This window comes from Homo sapiens, chromosome 1 (assembly GCF_000001405.40).
Source record: "Homo sapiens chromosome 1, GRCh38.p14 Primary Assembly".
NCBI classification, from domain to species: Eukaryota; Metazoa; Chordata; class Mammalia; order Primates; family Hominidae; genus Homo; species Homo sapiens.
In genome coordinates, this window is record NC_000001.11 from 245,191,274 (window position 1) to 245,212,551 (window position 21,278).

The 21,278-nt window shown below is 44.8% G+C and overlaps 1 protein-coding gene and 1 long non-coding RNA gene across 2 annotated transcripts in view, besides 2 other annotated features; one reads left to right on the forward strand and one right to left on the reverse strand.

The window, feature by feature from the left end:
- Nucleotides 1–21,278, forward strand: part of KIF26B (kinesin family member 26B) — a 554,448-nt gene that overhangs the window by 36,289 nt on the left and 496,881 nt on the right. The window lies entirely within an intron of this gene.
- Nucleotides 3,759–4,566: an enhancer, noted in NCBI's record as "OCT4-NANOG hESC enhancer chr1:245358334-245359141 (GRCh37/hg19 assembly coordinates)". NCBI's record gives its function as "activates a minimal SCP1, AML or CMV promoter by ChIP-STARR-seq in naive H9 embryonic stem cells {active_cell/tissue: H9 hESC(naive)}" and the evidence as "EXISTENCE:reporter gene assay evidence [ECO:0000049][PMID:30033119]".
- Nucleotides 11,428–11,638: a silencer, noted in NCBI's record as "fragment chr1:245366003-245366213 (GRCh37/hg19 assembly coordinates)". NCBI's record gives its function as "represses an EF-1alpha promoter that drives an FKBP-Casp9 reporter gene in an ReSE screen in K562 erythroleukemia cells {active_cell/tissue: K562}" and the evidence as "EXISTENCE:reporter gene assay evidence [ECO:0000049][PMID:32094911]".
- KIF26B-AS1 (KIF26B antisense RNA 1) overlaps nucleotides 15,171–21,278 on the reverse strand; it is a 28,074-nt gene continuing 21,966 nt past the window's right edge. Inside the window, exon 5 of the long non-coding RNA NR_151721.1 lies at nucleotides 15,171–15,520. This is a non-coding gene — a long non-coding RNA (KIF26B antisense RNA 1). The remainder of the gene's footprint in view (nucleotides 15,521–21,278) is intronic.

The following is a 21,278-nucleotide window of genomic DNA, read 5'->3' on the forward strand; positions in this document are numbered from 1 at the left end:
AGACCAGCCTGGCCAACATGGTGAAACCCCATCTCTACTAAAAATCCAAAACTTAGCTGGGCGTGATGGCAGACGCCTGTAATCCCAGCTACTCGGGAGGCTGAGGCAGGAGAATCATTTAAACCCAGGAGACAGAGGGTGCAGTGAGCCGAGATCACACCACTACACACCCACCTGGGCAATAAGAGTGAAACTCTTGTCTCAAAACAAGCAAACAAAAAGGATTAAATATATATAAAAAAATCTAGAAGGAAATATATGGATAAAGAAGTTTCTAAGCTTGATAGAATAGAAGGTATCACAAGAGAAAATATAGACAGGTTTGACTACATAAAAATTAAACTCTGTATATCAGAAAACATTTGTACGTTGACAAAATCAAAGGGCAGGCGACAATCTGCAGAGAATGTAAAAAATTACAACGAAGCATGAATATCTTTAATATAGAATTTTTAATACAAATTGCTAATGTCAACATTAAGACCGCAGTAGTTTAAGGGACAAAGGCAGTTGAACTGACTTTGCAAAAGGGGAAACAAACACACATGGCTACCAAACGCAAGAAAAATTGTTCAACTTCATTAGTAATCAAATAAATGCAAATCGAAACAACAGTAAGCTACCATTTTTGATGCAGCTTAACAAAGATTTTGTAAAATGTGATATTCTTTCATATAATGAAGGATAAATTAATACCATTTTGGAAAGCAGTGTGATGAACCTTAAAATTATTCTTACTCCTTGACCTGGTAGTTCTATTTCTGGGAATCTATCTTAAGGGGATAATCCTAACTACCAGGATTAATGCACAAAAGTATTTCCTGAAGCATTTAAAAAAAATAATTATAAAGAATTAGAAAGAAGCTGCATGTTCAGCATTAGGGAAATGGTTACAGAAATTATGATCAATCTATTTGATCAAATGCTGTGTGGTCTCTTAAAATAACATTTGTAAAATGTTTCCCATGTTTCAGGGGACGTGCTCATGATATAATTAATGCTAAGTGATAAAAAAGCAGGATATAACCTCAAATGTAAGTATTTTCTGGTCTAGACAGTTTAAAACTTCACAGGAAAGAAAAAAAAGGATGCTTGCTACAATATTAGCAGAGAATAATATTGATGGCTGCTGGTCTCCCCTAGTAAACTGTGTTTCCTAAAAGGGCATACATTACTTTAAAAACATTTTTAATTTTGAGATATTTTGTAAAAATTTGATTCTCATATATCTGTCTTAAGAATTTATTATATAAATCATCCTTGAATAAACTAAGTTACATAGTTTTCAAACTCTGTCTCCTGCTAAATGATCATCTATACTGATGACTTTTTAAAATAATATAAACTTCCAGGAGGGAGGAAAGAGGTATGTTTATTTTAGGGGCCTCCAGAGCCCACAGTAACTCTTCCTTCTTGGGGAGAGGAGTCTAAAGATAACAGGCCTGAGTTTGTGAACTCTCATCTCTAGTATACTTGACTTCTTCTATGTATTTATTGATTGTGTGGTATCACAGATTTGGGGGGTGCGTGTGCAGGTGCACGTGTCCCGTTCTGTAGTGGTGGGGATTGGGTTTCTAGTGTACCCATCACCTCAATAGTGAACATTACACCCAACAGATAATTTTTTTTTACTTTTAGTCTCAGGGCACTGTGCAGGTTTGTGATACAGGTAAGTTGTGTGTCATGGGATTTGCTGTACAGATGATTTCATCACCTAGGTAGTAAGCATAGTACCCAATAGGTAGTTTTTGAGACTCACCCTTCTCTTACCCTCCACCCTCAAAGTAGGTCTTGGTGTCTGTTGTTCCCCTCCTAGTATCCATGTGTGCTCATTGTTTAGCTCCCACTTATAATTGAGAACACACGGTATTTGGTTTTCTGTTCCTGTGTTAGTTTGCTTAGGATGATGGCCTCCAGCCCCATCCATGTTGCTGCAAAAGACATGATCTTGGCTGCATAGTGTTCCATGGTGTATATGAGCCACATTTTCTTTATCCAGTCTACTGTTGATTGGCATCTAGCTTGATTCCATGTTTGCACTATTGTGAATAGTGCTGCAGTGAACATACGTGTGCATATGCCTTTATGGTAGAATGATTTATGTTCCTTTGGTACTTGACTTCTTATTGCCATTGTGTTCACCAAAGACAATCATATGACTCAGTCTGTTTCAATTGGTTTGAAAGCTTAGGCTTTCCTTTTTAAATAAACCGGAAAGCTTAGGCTTTCCTTTTTAAATAACCTTTTTTCAAAATTTCATATTTTTTTCTCATTTTAGGAATGTAATAATAGTCATCATGCGTTAAGAGCTTTCAAAGAACCAGATCCTGTTCTAAACACTTTATATGTGTTACATCATTTAATGTTCACAGCAATCCTCTGAGATGTAGGTACTGTTATCATCCCAGTTTTACAGATGAGAAAACTGAAGCACAGAGAAGTCAAGTAAGTGGAGAAGCCCATGTTCAAACCTGAGTCATCTGTCGCCAGAGCGTCCCTCCACTGCGCCAGATTTATGACAACTTACTTGTTCTTTATGAAGGCAGCAACTCAGGCACAGTAGGCCAAGGCTGCCATCTGATGAAACAACTGGCAAATCAATGGCAGAGAAAGATTCAGAGCAGAGACAGGGCTGCGTCCATTGATCGTGTTAGGACCTGGACCATGGGGCGCTAGAAAATGACATGGACGCCAGAAAGTTTCTTTTTGCTGCTGACTGATCATTTATGAACTTTCCATGGACTTTTGAAAATAATATCAAAATAATACCACTAGAATTGTTAAAGCATTCCACGTAGGACACTGGGTCATTTGATTTCTGTAGGAAAATGTGATTTTGTAGGAAGGCGTATGGTAGTTTCTTCCATATAAGGCCATTATCTCGTCTTTGAACCTAATTTCTACTGCAGTTCAGGTTTGGAGAGGCCTAATTCATCGTGGTGGCACAGTTTTAAAATTTGCCCCTCATTTGGAATTGATTTAGAGTTTCCGTTTACATAGAGTGCTTGATGCAGGAGGCAGTTATGGAAAGGGAGGCCCTCTCTGAGCACGGTGCATGGGGTTAGAGTTGCCTAGATTTTGGTAACATAGTGACACTGCAAACAAAACTCTATGGAAACAAAATAATTTTTTTTTTCTTTTTGGACACAGAGTCTTCCTCATGCAGCGGTGCAAACTCGGCTCACTGCAACCCCTTGGGTTCAAGCGATTGTCCTGCCTCAGGCCCCCAAGTAGCTGGGACTACAGGCATGTGCCACCATGCCTGGCTAGTTTTTTGTATTTTTAGTAGAGATGGGGTTTTGCCATGTTGCCCAGGCTGGTCTCGAACATCTGACCTCAGGCCATCCACCCACCTTGGCCTCCCAAAGTGCTGGGATTACAGGTGCGAGCCACTGCACCTGGCCTGGTTTTTACTTTCAAATCTGATATTTTAGCCTGTTAGTGTTAACCATGTTTAACTGACTCAAATGAAATGCTGGCCCTGGCTCCCATATAGCCAGAAGAATAAGAATGCTGGTAATCAGGTATTGGCGTTTCTTCAAAAAGCCAAAATCTGTTGTAATAGAAATACTGGTAATTTCTTCACTCTGTGAAGTACATGTGTATGGGGGTGTGTGTGTGTAGGAGAGGGTTGAAGATTTTAACAGTTGTTTGCCCAAGGTTACTATATAATCTAAACATATATAAGGCTCCAAGGCATTTAGCTTATGGGGAAAATTAAATAGTGGCTATTTTATAAAGGCAACTAGTTGGGAGGCCTCAATCATTGTTACTTTTTATGGGCTCTACTAGGATTTTATGTAGGAACCAGTGTGATCTGGGGAGGAGGGATTCCTTTACACACATCCTTCAGAAAGCCACCATTGTATTCCTGTTGCATTTGATGAATATCCCTAGTAGGTTTCTTTTCTCCACCTGCCACCTAGGTAGATCACCACTGCTGCATGTCACTTTTACTGAAGTGAGTAAAATCTCTGCTAGTAGTGTTTTCCAATTATGCATATATTTTCTTAGTGCTTATTTGGCACTGACTTTGGGGAGTCGTAGTCTTTCTGAGATGGGAATAACATCATTTGTTTGTTGCGCCTCAGTTCCACCGTCATTTAAATAGGAGGCGTGTCGTGATGGTGGGCAACCTTGTTCCCACCTGACCTTGTGAGATGCGCTAGGTGGATTATGGTCTTTGAACTACACATTGCTTGAATTCCTTGGGAGACGTGGGTCACATAAACAGGAGCCTGTGATTTTTCAGGATTGACGGGGAGGGGCATCTTCCTTTCCTAAATCCTTCCTTTGATCTCCTCAGCGGAGGTCACTTAAGCAACAGCTGGCTCTTCTTTGCCCCTGGGGCTCCGCTTCAGGGCCGGGGGAAGGAGGCTGAGCATGTCGAGTGCCCTGGGAAGGCCCATCTGCCTGTCAGGTGTTGTTTTTCCGCCAAACACCGAAAGAGCTATGTTTTGTTCCTCTTAAAGAGTTTACCATCCAGAAGGGAAAAATAAGATAGAAAGTAAATAGCTACAGCACACAGTACCTCTGAGGATAGGGGTAATAGGATTGTGGTCAAAGCAGGGTGTGCTCGGAACCATTTGAGGCGACCGGCAATCATTTCCTTAAAAGAGTAGCCTTGAGAAAAGCTCTAATAGATGGGTAAGATTTTGATGGGATTTTGGTAGGAGCCAAGGAGAGTAATCAAAGTGGAAAAAGGAGGGACTGGAGCCCTTGCCTGGGGCTTGAGGTTATCCTCGAGGTCCTTCAGGATGTCCTTCTGTGGCAGGAGGATGATAGAACTATTTGTTTCTAGTGTTTTGTATGGTTTTAGAGCCTTATATATTATGGTGACAGATCCAAGGACACAATGATTTGATGGTGTCCCTGTAGGAAGACCCCGTTTAACAAGACCACTATTTTCCTGGTAAATGAGATATAAGATGTATAGTCTTTTGTTTCCTCCCAGCAGCTACTCTGTGGATACATCCTGTGAACTTCCCTTTGCAATGATTAGGATGACAGCCCCTGTCTCTAAGCTTCTACCTGGGCTCCCTAAGTCCATTTTCTTCCCATTCCTAATAGCTCTGAAAACAACCTTCCACTGTGTTTCCTCCAGCATATTTCCGAGTTGATTGTCAAGCACAGCTCTTATGATATCACTGATCTGCTCAAAGCCCTTCCCTGGCTCTCCTGTTGAATGGTGACCTGGGTGTAAATGCCTCAGACCTCTCGGTCTCCTCCCACCTTTCCAAGCCATATCCCCTTCATTGACTGTGCTCCAGGCACCACCTCCAGAGTAGACCTGGGGTGGGCCTCAGAACTCGCATTTCTAACGGGTTTCCAGGTGATTTCCGAGAACCACTGCCATAGCCAAGCCAGACAGGTGTGGCTTAACGGACCTCAGAATTCTCCCTTGGATATTTTTTTAAGTGCATCTTCCTTCACTTTGATTACTCTCCTTGGCTCCTACCAAAATCCCATCAAAATCTTACCCATCTATTAGAGCTTTTCTCAAGGCTACTCTTTTAAGGAAATGATTGCCGGTCACCTCAAATGGTTCCGAGCATACCCTGCTTTGACCACGGTCCTATTACCCCTATCCTCAGAGGTACTGTGTGCTGTAGCTATTTATTTTCTATCTTATTTTTCCCTTCTGGATGGTAAACTCTTTAAGAGGAACAAAATATAGCTCCTTCGGTGTTTGGCGGAAGAACAATTTTGAGATAAGAAATCCTACTCCTCATTGATTCTGTTCCGCATTTGGAGATGTTGGCAAGTGCGTCGAGCCACTCAGAGGGCACGGATTAGATTTTATTCATATTAGAATCCTCTGCATCACCCGACCAATTATTTGCCCACAGTAGGCCCATCATAAATATTTGGTGATTGAATAACAACCTTCCACACTCAAGATGTTGCAGGCCTGAGAAGTAAGAAGAAAGCGCTGCATAGTCTTCCTGCTTCTATTCTTGTAATCCTCTTATAAACCATGGGCCTTCTAGGAGAACAATTATTATTTTTAATGAACTGGTGTGTGGCATAGCTTAAACCTCTTTATTATCCTTCAGCACTTAGCTTTGAATAGGATTAATCAGCCAGGAAGATCTGAGGAGGGGCAGGGCAGGCTTCGTTCCCAGGTTATTGCTTTTCCAGTGAAAAGCACTTTGAAGAGGACAGTGGAGACTGATCTTTTATTTTAATTCAATATAATTATAACTTTGTTTTTTTTACACACATCACACACACACGTGCTCACACACTTCAGAAGTCTCATGGCTAACGATGGGGCTGTGTAAGTTATTCATTAGGAAGATTTGAGAAGCAGGGTCAAGCAATGGAGAAAAGGTATATATTTTTGAGGATTTATTTTTAGTATTTGATATAAAAATGTATGAGTAATACATGCTGATTATAAAGAATGAAAATAGGACAGAAGAAGATAGAGTCAAAAGTTAAAGTGCCCCCGGGGAAGTGTATTTATATAAAGTGACACAGGAGATATTTTGAAATTTTAATGCCCAAAAGTAAAGTAAATGATGTTCACCATATAGACGACAACTAGGCACAGTTTCACCACCCAGGATAATTAATGTGTGATTTTTCTGGTGTCCTCAAAATTATTAGCACTCCCATGCGTACTGGAGTTTCACAGATGGATTTCACTTTCACATTTGAGCATTTCTCAGTGGTTTCCAGCCTCAGCTCTCTCTTAAGCAGATGACTTTAGCCAAGCTGAGGGCAGAAAAAGCTAAGGAATGAGATCCTGTCTTGTCTCTTCCTCCCCTGCTCCCTCCCTTCCTCCTACCACCCACACATCCTTCCCTTTTGCAGCAGATACTCGTTGAGGGCTTACTATGCTGCCTCACTGAGGCATTGTGCCAGGTGTCAGGAATACAGTGGTGAGCAAAACAGACCTCCAGTACTTGTGTTTTGGGAGATTCAAATCAGGATACCAGAGTCCATGCAGTCTCTGGAGCAGACAGCCTGAGTTCAAATTCCAGATCAGTACTTACTATGCTATGTGCCCTCAGACAAGTTACTTGTGTCTCTGGCCTCAATTTCCTCATCTGTAAAATGGGAATGATAAAAGCATCTACCTCAAAGTTATTTAATATAGGGATTAAAATAAATAAAGATGTAAAGTGATTAAAACAGAGTGTAATATTTGGTAAGTGCTTGGCTGGGTGCGGTGGCTCACGCCTGTAATCCCAGCACTTTGGGGGGCCAAGGTGGGAGGATCACCTGAGGTCAGGAGTGCAAGACCAGCCTGGCCAACATGGCAAAACCCCGTCTCTACTAAAACTACAAAAATTAGCTGGGCATGGTGGTGGGGGCCTGTAATTCCGGCTAGTTGGGAGGCTGAGGCAGGAGAATCGCTTGAACTTGGGAGGCGGAGGTTGCGTGAGTCGAGATCGAGGTCGCACCATTGCACTTTAGCCTGGGCAATAGAGAGAGACTCCGTCTCAAAAAAAAAAAAAAATTGTGAGTGCTCAGTAAATGTTGTTATTTACAGTCAGGGTGTGGGCAGACATTTAACAAATAATAATAAATAACTAGGAAGTTCTAACTGAGATAAAGGAAAGATGATGCTCTGGAGAGTGTAACGGGGGTTCTAATGTAGACCGGGGGGTCAGGAAGGCGTGGTGTGCAGCTGGTGGTGGAAAGGAAGCCCCTGCGGCAGCGTCGGGGGAGGCGGGAGAGTGTGGCCGCTGAGCTGAGCTGAGCTGAGGCTGGAGTCCCAAGCAGGGGACAGACTAGGTGGGGCCTCAGGGCATCTAAGTTCACTTCATTCATTTTACAGATGAAGAAACTAAGGTCCAGAAAGATAATTGCTTTGTCCAGATCACAGGCTGGTGACAGAGCTAAGGCAAGACGCAGGTCTCCTTACTCCTGGTGCACTGGTGAGGAAACCTTTTAACCTCAAACTTTCATCATTTTCTGTCTCTATCAGATGCAAATCTAAATGTCCTTACACTTGTTCCTGGTAGGGTGCCCTCGTACCAACAGAGGGCAAATACACGCAAGTGTGCACATATATACTCCCCTCCCTCCTCCCTCCCTCCTCCCTTCTTGAGGGTGGTGGTGCTCAGGGTGTATGTTGGATGGTAGTGCGTAGTTGATTAGGGGAGAATTCAGGTTGCTTCTTTGTTTCCAGTTTTAAATAATCTGACCCATGTGTCTCTTTATTCATCCATCATACCTGTTCATATATCCACATATCTTTGGTTTTTTTTTTTTTGAGATGGCCTCTCTGTTGCCCAGGCTGGAGTGCAGTGGTGTAATCTTGGCTCACTGCAACCTCCGCCTCCCAGGTTCAAGTGATTCTTCTGCCTCAGCCTCCCAAGCAGCTGTGATTACAGGCATGCGCCACCATGCCCGGCCAATTCCTTTGGTATGTTTAAATAGAGATGGGGTTTCACCATGTTGGCCAGGCTTGGTCGCAAACTCCTGGCCTTAAGAAATCTGTCTGCTTCAGCCTCCCAAAGTGCTGGGATTACAGGAGTGAGCCACTGTGCCTGGCCCATGTATCCACATATCTACTCATCCATCTGTCCATCCATCCATCCATCCATCCATCCATCCACCCATCCACTTGTTCATTGATTTATTCATGCAATCCACAAATATTTATTGAAGGGCAGATATGTGTCACAAATTTGTGTTAGGTATTTTTGATGGTCAGCCAAACAAACCCGGCCTCTGCCCTCATGCAGTTTACAGTCTGTCAGCAGCAAATCGAAAGGAACATATCCTGTGTCTACACTTCCGTGCTATCATTGTGCGATGGGATTTTAAAAAATTCACGAGATTGTTCTAACACCCACAAGGAATGCACACTCTCGTTAATCCCACACGACTATTTCTTTAGTGGCTTATTTGTGTTTAATTTCCAAGATAGGGGCGGTGATATTCCCAAATCCCATTTCTCTCCTAAATCTCGTTTTCACAGATGCTCAGCAAAGGATGTAGGGCGACTACTGCAGCAGCACACAGCATTCAACCAGGAGTGGAATTTCATGAACTGCTCTTTATTTCCCTTCTGGTCTCTTGAGTCTGGTTCATCTTGTCTAGAGCTCTGATAATCTCCGAGACAAAATATTTAAATCTTCTGCAGCTCTAGGGACTTTGAGGAAGGAATATTGTGGCTAAAATCCTAAATATTTTGGAATATCATTAATGCAAGGGTTATACAGCAGATGCTGTCTGGCACAATCTCCATCCCAAGAGAATGTGTCAATATCTTTGTATATGGAAATGTACATGTATACTCATAAATTTCTCCAGCCTCCCAATTCTGTATCTCTTTCCCCTTTGAGACTGACTTTTACTTCCCTTCTTTAGCCCCTGCTTACTTTAATATACATTTTTTCTCTCTGTTTTCAGAAAGGGGTAAAAAATTGTTACCATAAATGATTGATAGAGGCCTGAATTTTTATTGTTATCTCTTCCGGAGTGGAAACCTGCCTTTTCATAGAGAACGCAGCTTTAATCCAAAGGATGGACTATCTAATTGTTGAATTTCAAATATAGGCAGGGCTGATTGAGGGTATAGGGTTTTTCAAACGTTCTTAAAATCACAATGTATGAGTAAAGGCATAATACTGATGGGACCACAGTACAGGACGTTTTCCAAAGGGCGTGAAAGTCATTGTGTGACCCCTGTTGATGCCTCTTTATTCTTGTTTTGTAGAAAAAGTAACTGATTTCTTAAAAAGCATATTAAGCCCACACCCTGTGCCCAGTATTTCTTTAGAACAACCCTAAAAAGGAGACAGGATTATCTTCACTTTACACCCAAGACAGCTGAAGACGACAGCAGCTAAGAGGCTTGCTCAAGGCCACACAGTTAAGAATTAGAGTTGAGCCTCAGAGCTGGCTCTTGGGTCTGGACCACCTCCCTGGGTTAAATACAGTCCTGTCTCAGTACACACACTGCCTCGCCTCCTGATTTTTAAGGTATTACAAGTTAAACACGCAACAAATAGTCTAGATCAGTTTCATTTTGAAATAACATAGCAGTTATAATGTGGATGATATTATGCTTGAAATAAAATAATCCTGATCATGGAGCAAGCACAGTGACCTGCCTTAACAGTTAGATGTTAGTAGAGAGGACACAGAGATCATTTAAATGCTAGTAAGGGCTTGTGACTGCGTTCTGAATGCTTAGTATTTTTAGATTCCTCCAATCGCTTCTAACCTTCAGCCCTGCCATGGTTTTTTCTGTGACCACTGGAATTCTAAATTCAGAAAGGTTGTTAGCCACCTGGATAATTGCACCTTTGTAACTTTTAAGACAACAACCTAGAGGCAGAGGATAACTACAATAAATGACTTGTAATTTCAGGTCTTAGATCTCTGCTTTCACATAAAACCAGCTTTCCACTTCCTTAGGTTCACCACCTGAAGAAATCAAAGCTAAGCATTACCAGAAGTCATTATCTACTATTTAAAGCCTGTTCTAAGCGGGAGACAAGCCCCCTTTTTAGGAGGCGTGGGGGCGGGGGGAAGGGGATCCATTTCTCATTTTGCCATGTTTCTGCAGGAATGTTTTTAATAGGGATCCTTTTTACCCCCAGCTACTCTGCAGCACAGGAGTACGACTGTATTTGAGGAGGCAGCTTGACTTCATGCTCCAGGGAGAAGTCTTTTATTTCCTGTTGGGGTTTTAAAGTTGCCCTTGCTTAGGTCGTTGCTGTTTTATAAGTCAGCCTGAATATTTAAAGGCAGGAGGCCTGTTGGTCTATGTTATGTTGGCCTTGGGGCATTAGAATGACAGAGCAGCTTTATTTAGGATTGCGAGGCAGGCCATATGTACTCAATTATCCCATTTTCGAGGACTTGGCCATTTGTACCACATCTCCCTGCAAGCCCTTTCATGAGAGCCACTATTATTATTCACATTCAGTAAGACCTGAGAAATATTATTAGCCAGGAAAGCTCTCATTTACCTCGCCATCTCTCGCAACGTTACTCACTGCCCTCACTGCAGAGCACTCCTTGTGTACCCTCTACCTTAACTAAGTTTGTCCCAAGAAAATGATGAGAAATTCTTTTACGCTGGCATACACAGACTAATCAGGTTTAGTGGGAAGAGCGTGGCCTCTCAAGTGTGGCAGATCTAGGTTCACATCCTGATCTACCGGTCTGAGCTTGGAAAACATTACTTCATTTTTCTGAACCTCAGTTTCTCTGTTTGAAAATGGGTTGAAGTGGCCGGGCGCAGTGGCTCACGCCTATAATCCCAGCACTTTGGGGGGCCAAGGCGGGAGGATTCTTTGAGGCCAGGAGTTCGAGACCAACCTGGCCAACATGGTGAAACCGCGTCTTTACTAAAAATACAAAAAATTAGCCGGACGTGGTGGCGGGCGCCTGTAGTCCCAGCTACTCAGGAGGCTGAGGCAGGAGAATGCCGTGAACCCGGGAGGCGGAGCTTGCAGTGAGCTGAGATCGCGCTGCTGCACTCCAGCCTGGGTGACAGAGCGAGACTCCATCTCAAAAAAAAAAAAAAAAAAAAATACACACAAAAACAGCCGGGCATGGTGGCGCATACCTATAACCCCAGCTACTCAGGAGGCTGAGGCATGAGAATCACTTGCACCCAGGAGGCAGAGGTTGCAGTGAGCCGAGATCCCACTACTGCACTCCAGCCTGGGTGACTAGAGCAAGACTCTGTCTCAAAAAAAACAAAACAAAACAAAAACAAAAAAGGCCGGGCGCGGTGGCTCATGCCTGTAATCCCAGCACTTTGGGAGGCCGAGGAGGGTGGATCATGAGGTCAGGAGTTTGAGACCAGCCTGGACAACATTTTTAGTCTCTACTAAAAATACAAAAATTAGCCAGGCATGGTGGTGTGCGCCTATAGTCCCATCTACTTGGGAGGCTGAGGCAGGAGAATAGCTTGAACCTGGGAGGCAGAGGTTTCAGTGAGCCGAGACTGTGTCATTGCACTCCAGCCTGGGTGACAGAGCGCGACTCTGTCTCAAAAAAAAAAAAAGAAAATGAGTTAAAGTTACAAGGAAGCTGATTTTGGCATCCATAAGAAAAATGGGCACAACGATCGTTGCTTTTTGCGTGGATTGCCACAAGAATGTTTTTGGATTCACAGATGTTTAATACTACACATCACTTTCTCCTTCTCCTACTTTTCCCATAGGTTTTCATTCAACAGATATCTGTTGATTATCTTGTGGTGTTTCAAGATGTGTCCATCTGCATTTTAGCTGGGCATATGCCCAAACAGCATAGATTTCAAGCTGTCACAACCCACCATGGGACAGATACTTCTTAAAGTGTGTGTGGGTTGCGTTACTGGGACCCCCAATTGCCACACCGCTAGCATTTGTCCACTTGTAAAGATTTTCTTACTTGTCTTCCTTGTTGAATCAGGAAGTGGACTTTTACATGGTGCATGCAGTTTTTGATGCGCTTCCTCTCCCTGCTCCCTGGAGGTGCCGCATGAAAGCGCTTTTCCCTGGACGTTCAGTTCCCTCTCCACTCCTTGTCTCTGTGCATCCTGCATCTTGGCATCTCCCCCCGTGACATTTATTCCTGTGAATCTGAAAACTTCCTGTATGTTTTGTGGCTACATTCGTATTCCAGTTGCTAGAGCAGAGGGGAGCGGGTGCTGCCACGTGAACTTTGGTGTTGAAAGAGCTTCAGGATAAAGTTTTCAGAGGACCTGCTATCAACCAAAGCTACTTGAATATAATTAGGAACTAGGTCCAGTTCCTAATCATACTCCAGAGGAGGATAAATCCATAGGCTGTCCCCAAGCCAGTTAGCTCTGAGTCAGCAATGAGCTTACATCTTCACACGCAGATGCTGTAGGTTTACTTCATATGTCCTTCTGCAGTCATTGTCCTGCACGGCTCAGGTGGCAGTGACATACTGGCTAGGGACATGGAGAGGAGCTCTCACAAGGGATCTGGAAGGTACATCAGGCCTAGGAGAGAGGAACAAATGAAAACGGCACTGGGGCTTCATGGATGGTAATAATTCATACAGGAGACTTTCCAGTTAGAGCACTAAGTATCAACACTATTTGGAGCATCACTCCAAACTGTACTCATTTCAAACTATAATGAAATGCGTCTTCTCTGTTGTAAGATCTCTCTTTTTTTTTTTTTGAGATGGAGTCTTGCTCTGCCACCCAGGCTGGCATGCAGTGGTGCGATCTCGGCTCACCGCAACATCCATCTCCCAGGTTCAAGCAATTCTCCTACCTTAGCCTCCTGAGTAGCTGGGATTACAAGCGCCCGCCACCATGCCCAGCTAATTTTTGTATTTTTAGTAGAGGCGGGGTTTCGCCATGTTGGCCAGGCTGGTCTCGAGCTCCTGACCTCAGGTGATCCACCTGCCTTGGCCTCCTAAAGTGCTGGGATTACAGGCGTGAGCCACCACGCCTGGCTGTTGTAAGGATCTCTTAAATTTCTCTTATGGCTTCGTCTCAACCACAGAGCAAATAATCCCCTTAAAAATCTTAAGTTTTTAGTTTTTCCAGGGCTTTATTTTGTGTGATTTTTTTTTTCTTTAAGAGATGAGGTCTCACTCTGTCACGCAGGCTGGAGTGCGGTGGCAGAATCATAGCTCACTGCAGCGTCGAACTCCTCAGCTCAAGTGATCCTCCCACCTCAGCCTCCCAAGTAGCTGGGACCTCAGATGCACACCACCATTCCTGGCTAATTTTTAACAATTTCTTTTTGTAGAAATGGAGTCTTGCTATGTTGCCCAGGCTGGTCTTGAACTCCTGCCTTTGAGTGATCTTGCTGCCTTGGACTCCCAAAGTGTTGGGATGACTGGAGAGAGCCACTGTGCTGGGCCTTGTTTCTTAATTGTTCATTTAACAGGCCTGGTTGGGGTGTGAAATGGAGTCCATGTGTGTATTTTGCATCCTCTGTAAATATGGCCGTAGAGTACATTCTAAACACAGCCTTTCTGATCCACTGGCTTTTGTGCATACCAGGGTATGACATCGTGTTAAAAAGACCGTTAGTGTAGTGTATTGTTTTTGTAAATGCAGTTTATTCTAAGCACACTATATGCTGGAATTATTTCTAGAGTTCATAGTGGTATTATCATTAAGGTGTATGGAAAGTATACTAATTCCTATTCTATAGGCAAAAACAACTGGAGCACAGCAATACTACTGCCTTATTGAATCTTATAAGAATATAGGGGGAATAATACTTGAAGTGTACAATAATAATAATAATATGCTCAACCAGCAACACTAATTACCATAAGAAAGATGTGGTTGAGAACTACATTTCCACAATAATTACACAATTGCTACACTCACTTGGCAACCTTATGGTATGGCTGGTATGCTAGCAACCAAATCTTCCTGTGTAAAACTACTTCCATGATGTTCCTGCCACAGGATTTCGTGCTGGGCTGACAGAACAGAACAGTTTCCTGAGGAACGTTTTCTTTTTCTTTCTTTTCTTTTCTTTTTTTTTTTTTTTAGACATAGGGTCTCGTTCTGTTGCCTAGGCTGGAGTGCAGTGGCAGGATTATGGCTCACTGAACACCTTCTGGGCTCAAGTGACCCTCCTGACTCAGCACTCTCCCCCACCCCCACCCACACCCCCACCCCCACCAAGTAGCTGGGACTACAGGTGCCCACATCTGGCTAATTTAAAAAACTTTTTTTTAAAGAGATGGGGTCTTGTTATGTTGCCCAGGGTGGTCTGGAACTCCTGGCCTCAAGCAATCCTCCCACCTCACCCTCCCAAAGTGCAGGAATTATAGGAGTGAGTCACTGAGCCCAGCCCCCAAGGAGACTTTTCTGATTGCTGGTCTTTGCCATCCTCAGAGAACCAGGCGGGGCACCCAGGGTCCCTCTTTGTTGACTCATACCTTGGGTTCTCTTATATTTACTCAAACATAATGTCCTGAAGTTATCAGTAGTCCCTTCTTATTCTCCAGCTCCCTGTAAAGGCTTAAAGCATAACTCTGGGAAAATGTTTTGCTTGGGTGGGCAGAAATGGTATATTTGGGTACAGATGTGGGATGTGAAGCCTCAGCTGTCACTGCACCTGCACCCAGAGTGGTCCCCACTTCTTCCACTCTTTGCATCTGTCCTGGGCACCCTCCTTTATCTTTGCACAAAGGATTAAGCATTTCATGTGATATGCCTTAAATTGATTTTCCTTATGAGTAGGGAAAGGGAGTGGGGATAGAAGACAATTGTTTAATCCAATAATCATGCAAGAATGTGTTCTTGACATTAAGAGAACAACTGTAGTCTGTGGAGTAGCCTAAGACACAGTTGCACATAGCTATGCAGGCAGTTATTGATCTGAAGAATGAACCGTCATGGCTGCTTTGAGGAATAAGATGCATCACTATTGAAGGAGGCCGGGAGAATACTGGAGAGTGGTCTCCAACCCTGGATCTTGATGCTGCTGTTTACTGCAGCCATGCAAAGGAATGTGTGCTTCAGGTCTGAGTGTTCAAGGCAGGACCAGCAAATTTCCATGAACTCTCTGACCGTAGGCCACCTCTGTTCCATTTTGCTTCTTTGCTCCTAAAAAAATTAAATATCTTAAGTTAGTTTATAAAACATTATACTTTAAACAGGAAGTGAAAATGTTTTTCTGTTTTTAAAAGTAATATATGCCATTGTAGAGAATGTGGAAAATACAGAAAGATTCAGAGATCACAGAATTAAGAATCCAAATGATTTTGACCAGCTGGAATGATCAAGTCTGAATTAGCATGATGATATTTAAATGGGATGTGTTTTGCTTTGACGATTTCGGCTTAGGGTCCTCGGAGAGAGAAGCCTGTGTCCCTTAAGCCTAGCAAGGTACTTGGCAGAGAAGGGCAGAGTGGGGCATTCCTGAATGAACAAATGGATGAATAAATAGAATAGGATGCATGGAATTAAGGCAGGACTCCCTGTGTTGGAAGCAAAGCTAGGAGTCACAAGGAGAACGAGCACTCAAAAAAGAGATTTCTCAGCAAGGCAAATTTACTTCTGCAGAAGGGTGCTTCTCACAGGACTGGTTGCCACGAGAGCACACCGAACACAGGAGGGAAAGGGTTTTTTTCATTCCTAACGCAGCTTGTCCTTACTGCTGTGTCCTGCCTCCATTGGCTGGAGTTGGACCGCACAATCTAAACTGAACCCGATTGGCTAACTTGAAAGACAACTTTGGCGGGAAGAGCTGCCACAGCAGGAGGGGTAAATTACAGAGTGAGTAGCAGACGTGGGCTCTGTAGATAAGGACTTACAAGGGACTTACAGTCCGGTGAAGAACTAAACAGCAATGGCATCTAATAAATACCCAAGGATGAGCAGTTGGTTTCATCTTCATACTCCCTAAGGACCGGTGGGAGAGTTGTTTACTGGACCCGGAAGAAACATGATAGAATTTCTGGGGCATTCACTTTGGAGGAAACCATGGGATGGTCTACATTGAAGGCCTGAGGAACTTTTCCCTCCTCCGTGCTAAGTTGGTAGTTTCCACTTTCCACCACCCACTTCCCACAGCTCCCCCCAAACACACGTACACATCGTTTTTCACACCATCATCCTTTTTGGTAAAGAGATGTGTCCATTTCTGTCCTGCATTAGTGAGTTCCTTACCAGGTGCAAACACTGTTAGATGTCCTGAAAAATGTATCTCATAAAAGAGCTGTAGCAGGAGGGAGTATCAGAGAAGAGAGTAGCTTTCCTTTTGCTGTCTGGCTGCAAAACCATCTGGAAGCCCCCGCGGAGGTGGGCTGTGTGCCCGAGCCCTACCTTGGAGAGACACTTGGTTCCCTTTTCCAGCAGATTTCTTTTCCTGACAGATAATTCTCTGTTAATCGAGGGCTCCTCAAATCCGAATCTGAGCTTCCTCTTCTATTCTCACCTCTGTGCCAGGGAAATTTTCTTGGCAATTGAAACCAAAGCGATAGGCTGGCAGTGGGACTCTACTTGGCTGGGGGTAAAATAAGCAATGATTGCACATAATTGCAGAAAACAATTTTGAATTTTATTAATGAGGTGCTCCAAACAACATCTTTTAGTCCATTGTCCCACTTAACAGCCAATTCACCGGAGTTCATTGTGCTGTAATTTACATCTATCTTCCCCCATTGATAACACCAGGCCCTTGTGTTCTGTAATTGACACAAGTTGGTCATTTTCAGGGGTGTTTCTCTCTCTAAGGACATAAAATAAACAGGCTTGCTGGCGAGTGGGATTGAGTTAGCCTCATCCACAGAGCCAATTGGCTGCTGCTGCTTGACGCTCATTTTCCTTCCTCAGGAGAGGTGGCACAGCCGTGGGTACGTGCACAGAAAGTCCTCAGGTTAAAGATGTTGAGGTGGAGGCCTGGGGAGGCAAGCGGATGTCGATAGTGAGAAAACGAGACTTCTTTGCCTTTCCTTTGCTTCTTGCCACCCAGGACCCAACATCTCCAGGTGGAGCTGATTTTTAGTGTGCGCAGCCAGGCTTTGGGGGCAGTAGAGGTAAGATTCAGGGGAGGGTTTCCAGGAGGGGATATAGGCCACCACCTCCTTCAGCATCTCATCTCAAAATGTAGCATGTGTGAGTCGCCACTATAGGTCCCAGTGAGCTCAGCTAGCCCAGCTCCTACCTTCTTTGTGTGTTTACAGCAAAAACGCTGTCACTGCTTTCATGTGTCTGTTTAAACACTGTGTGGCCATCGGCTCTGTGTTGGGCACTTAGGGAGTATGAAGATGAAACCAACTGCTCATCCTTGGGTATTTATTAGATGCCATTGCTATTTAGTTCTTCGCCAGACTGTAAGTCCCTTGAGGTCAAGGATCTCGTCTCCTCTGTTCTTAGTATCCTCTATAGAACCGATAACAGAGTGGACACTTAGAAAAACATTAACAGGCCAGGCGCAGTGGCTCACGCTTGTAATCCCAGCACTTTTGGAGGCTGAGACGGGTGGATCATCTGAGGTCAGGAGTTTGAGACCAGCCTGGCTAACATGGTGAAACCCCATTTCTACTAAAAATACAAAAAATTAGTTGGGCATGGTGGTGTACACCTATAATCCCAGCTACTCAGGAGGCTGAGGCAGGAGAATCGCTTGAACCCGGGAGGCGGAGGTTGCAGTGAGCTGAGATCATGCCACTGCACTCCAGCCTGGCTGACAGAGTGAGACTACATCTAAAAAAAATAAAACAAGAAAAAAAATAAAAAAAGAAAACATTAACAAATGGATGAATCAAATGGAGAAGAAGAGACAAGTACAGAAACACGTGTAGAAGTGGAAAAGAAAAAACAAAAACATAAAGGGAGCTCTAAAAGGTTACAGAAAGAGCTGTGGGACATAGAGAGAGGTGTTTCTTTTCCCTGGGGTGAGCCGGGAAGCCTTCATGGAAAGGCTGGCCTGGAGCATGAGAGATTCTCATCGGTGGACGGTGGAGGTTGAGCATTTCAGGGGTAAATTCCGAGAACATTGTACACACATAAGAAATAATGCAAGGTGCCTATGGCTTTGACTTGAGCATTTGGTATGTGCAAGGAAGTGACTGGAGATCAAAAGGGAAATGCAGATTGGAAACAGGGCCTGGGGGTCTTGTGGCAGCTTGTGGGTGGCCATGCTTTCCCTGGGCACTGCCCGACCCAGGGGACTCAGCTGCGGGTGGCACGCTCGGCGTGCAAGGCATTTGCTTACTGGAAACTACACCCGTAAGAAGATACTGGGGTCTTGGGAAGGAAGGTGACTGTTAACCTGTGGGGGTCAGCTTACAGTGTGAGTGTTGGCCAGAATGATCAAGCTCTCCAGCCTTAGCCCAGATCAAAATCCAGAGGCCAGGAAGGATGTAAGCCTAGCTCTGTGCCATGCAGCTGGTTGGAACAGAGGTGCAGATACAGGCTCCACCCCTCTGGGACCATCAGCTCCCAGGGTGTCTGCAGCCTCACAGCATGACTCTCTCCCAGTCAGCCCACCCCCAAGGCCCCGCAGCTGCAGCTTCTGCTGTGCTTTCATTCCAGGGATGGGCAGGGTGACATCAGGCCACCCGCAGCCTCTGGCCTCAGCCTCTCTGCCTAGGTGGCACCATGGGCTCCAACCAGCCGGGGCAGCTGCTGGGACCACCCCGCACAGGCCCACTCTGCAGTGAGGGAAGGACCGACAGGCTTGCGGCTGCTGGATTACTCAGTATTTTTCACTTTAATATCCTAATCCTGAAGTTGTTCTGCGATGTGGTGTTCTGGTGGTAAATATAATCTTTTGGCAGAGTTTTTGAACTGTCTGGAACCCAATATCCTAAGCTTTTTTTTTTTTTTTTTACTGTATTTGGATTATATTGTGGGATTTTTTTCCCCAAGGAGGAAAAAACGTATTTTAAAATACAACATGAAGTGAGTGAAAAAATTTGTTTAATGCAAATAAAAGAATTGAAGCTGGAGGGTGAGTGTTTCCAGAGGAGGCCATCACCGTAGGAGGAGAAGCTGGACTCAGAGCCAGGGAGTCCCAGAGCCTGTGGTAGGCCCTGTCCTTGTGTGGGGAGATCAGCCAGTTCCAAGTGCAGGGACCAAGGACATTCCCAAGCCCGTCCTCAGCCAGCTAGTCCTGCAGGGCTGTTCGGAGCATCCAGGTCTTCTGTCATTTTTTCTTCCCCAGACAAACCTCCTAGACATAGGAAGCCCTTTCAGAAGACACATTTGCCTCTCCACAGCTCCACCCATTATCCTTTACCACTGGCGATGTTCTGTTCTTCTTGGGACACCACAGCGTTATTTGTCTTTCCAGACCAAAAATATATCCCTCAGGAGTATGGCGGTTTTTAAGCTCACACCAAGGGAATGCTTGTATAGGCCTTGTGTCTTCTTGTGATGTTTCCCAGCGATGGGCCTGAACGGGAGAGACTAGCCAACTGTTGCTGAACGCGATATTCTTTTGTGAATAAAAAGGCCCTGATTCCAGCCAAACCGGGATCTGGTTTGGCTGGGTGTGGGACGGGAGCAGTCACCGCAAGATCCCCAGACATGTGTCTGAGCCCCTGTGTGGCCTGAGGCTCTCCCAGTTAGTCATGGCAGTAGAAAGTCTCTCCCTGCTCGAGATGCAAAAGACTCACCATCCAAAGAGTTGGGCCATCCCCTGCCCGCTGTGACTGTCTAGCTGTCTGCCCCTTGACAGGGCCCAAAATGATCCAGTGCTGGAGGCCGGCTTTGCAAACCCAAGGCAGGGTCTCACTGTGTTGCCCAGGCTGGAGTGCGGTGGCCCAATCAGCTCACTGTAACCTTGAACTCCTAGACTCAAGCAATCCTCCTGCCTCAGCCTCTCAAGGAGCTGGGATTACAGGCATGCACCACTAAGCCTGACTCATTTCTTTACTTTTTGTAGAGATGGGGTCTTGCTGTGTTGCCCAGGCTGGTCCTCAATTCCTGGCCTCAAGTGATCCTCCTGCCTCAGCCTCTAAGAGCTCTGGGATTAGAGATGTGAGCCACTGTGCCTGGCCTCATGATAACTTTTTATAAAGAAAAAAATTTAAATCCTCTGTTTCTTCTCTTCCTCATCTTCCCTTACTTTACCCACAAACAGGGGAAGAACTTTCTAGCAGGAACCATTTAGTTCTGTCTTGGGAGCACTTGTTTCCTTCTCAGTTTCTTAGAAAGTGCAGAGTCTGCTTGCTGGCACCGCACCGTATCAAATGCTTGTGATTTCCATTCGGCCTGCACCCACGGCAGTGGGCTCTGCCCGACTGCTCCTCAGCGGGGGCCTGGGAGGGGGCTGAAAAGCCTGGGGCTGGTGGGAAGTGGTACTCCCTCCAGCATGGCGGTTTGGAGTCTTGAGGAAGGGTCCCCCCTTAGCCGTGGCCCAGGGACACTGCCCCTCCCCACCCCCAGACCCTTCCCGACAACACTGCCTGCTTGGGATGCTCTAGGCAGAAGTGGGCGGTGGGGCTGGCCTCCATTTCAGTGCTTGGTAATTTTACGGTTGGGGTCTCCGTCTTAGAAGCAATTTCCCATAATTCCACTTGGGAGAGAAGTGTCTTTATTGCTCATCCCCATTTTAAAGGTGGGTAATTGGGGGCCTCAAGAGATTAGGAGTCTTGCTCATGATAAAACAGGAAGTGGTGGGTCTGCGATTTGGAATTCTGCGTTCCTGCAGGACACCCTGCCGCCCGTGCCACCTGTTCTCTCCCACGTGATGGGCGCAAACCCCTGAGAGGTCCCTTTTCAGCTCTTGCTCCATTCTCAGCTGTTGTGTTTCCCTCTCCAGATCCCCCACATTGACACAAGAGATGTGATGCCTCCGGGCAGTTAAGGGTGAAAAGCGAATGCAGGTTTTCTCTCTCCTCTTTGCCCCCAA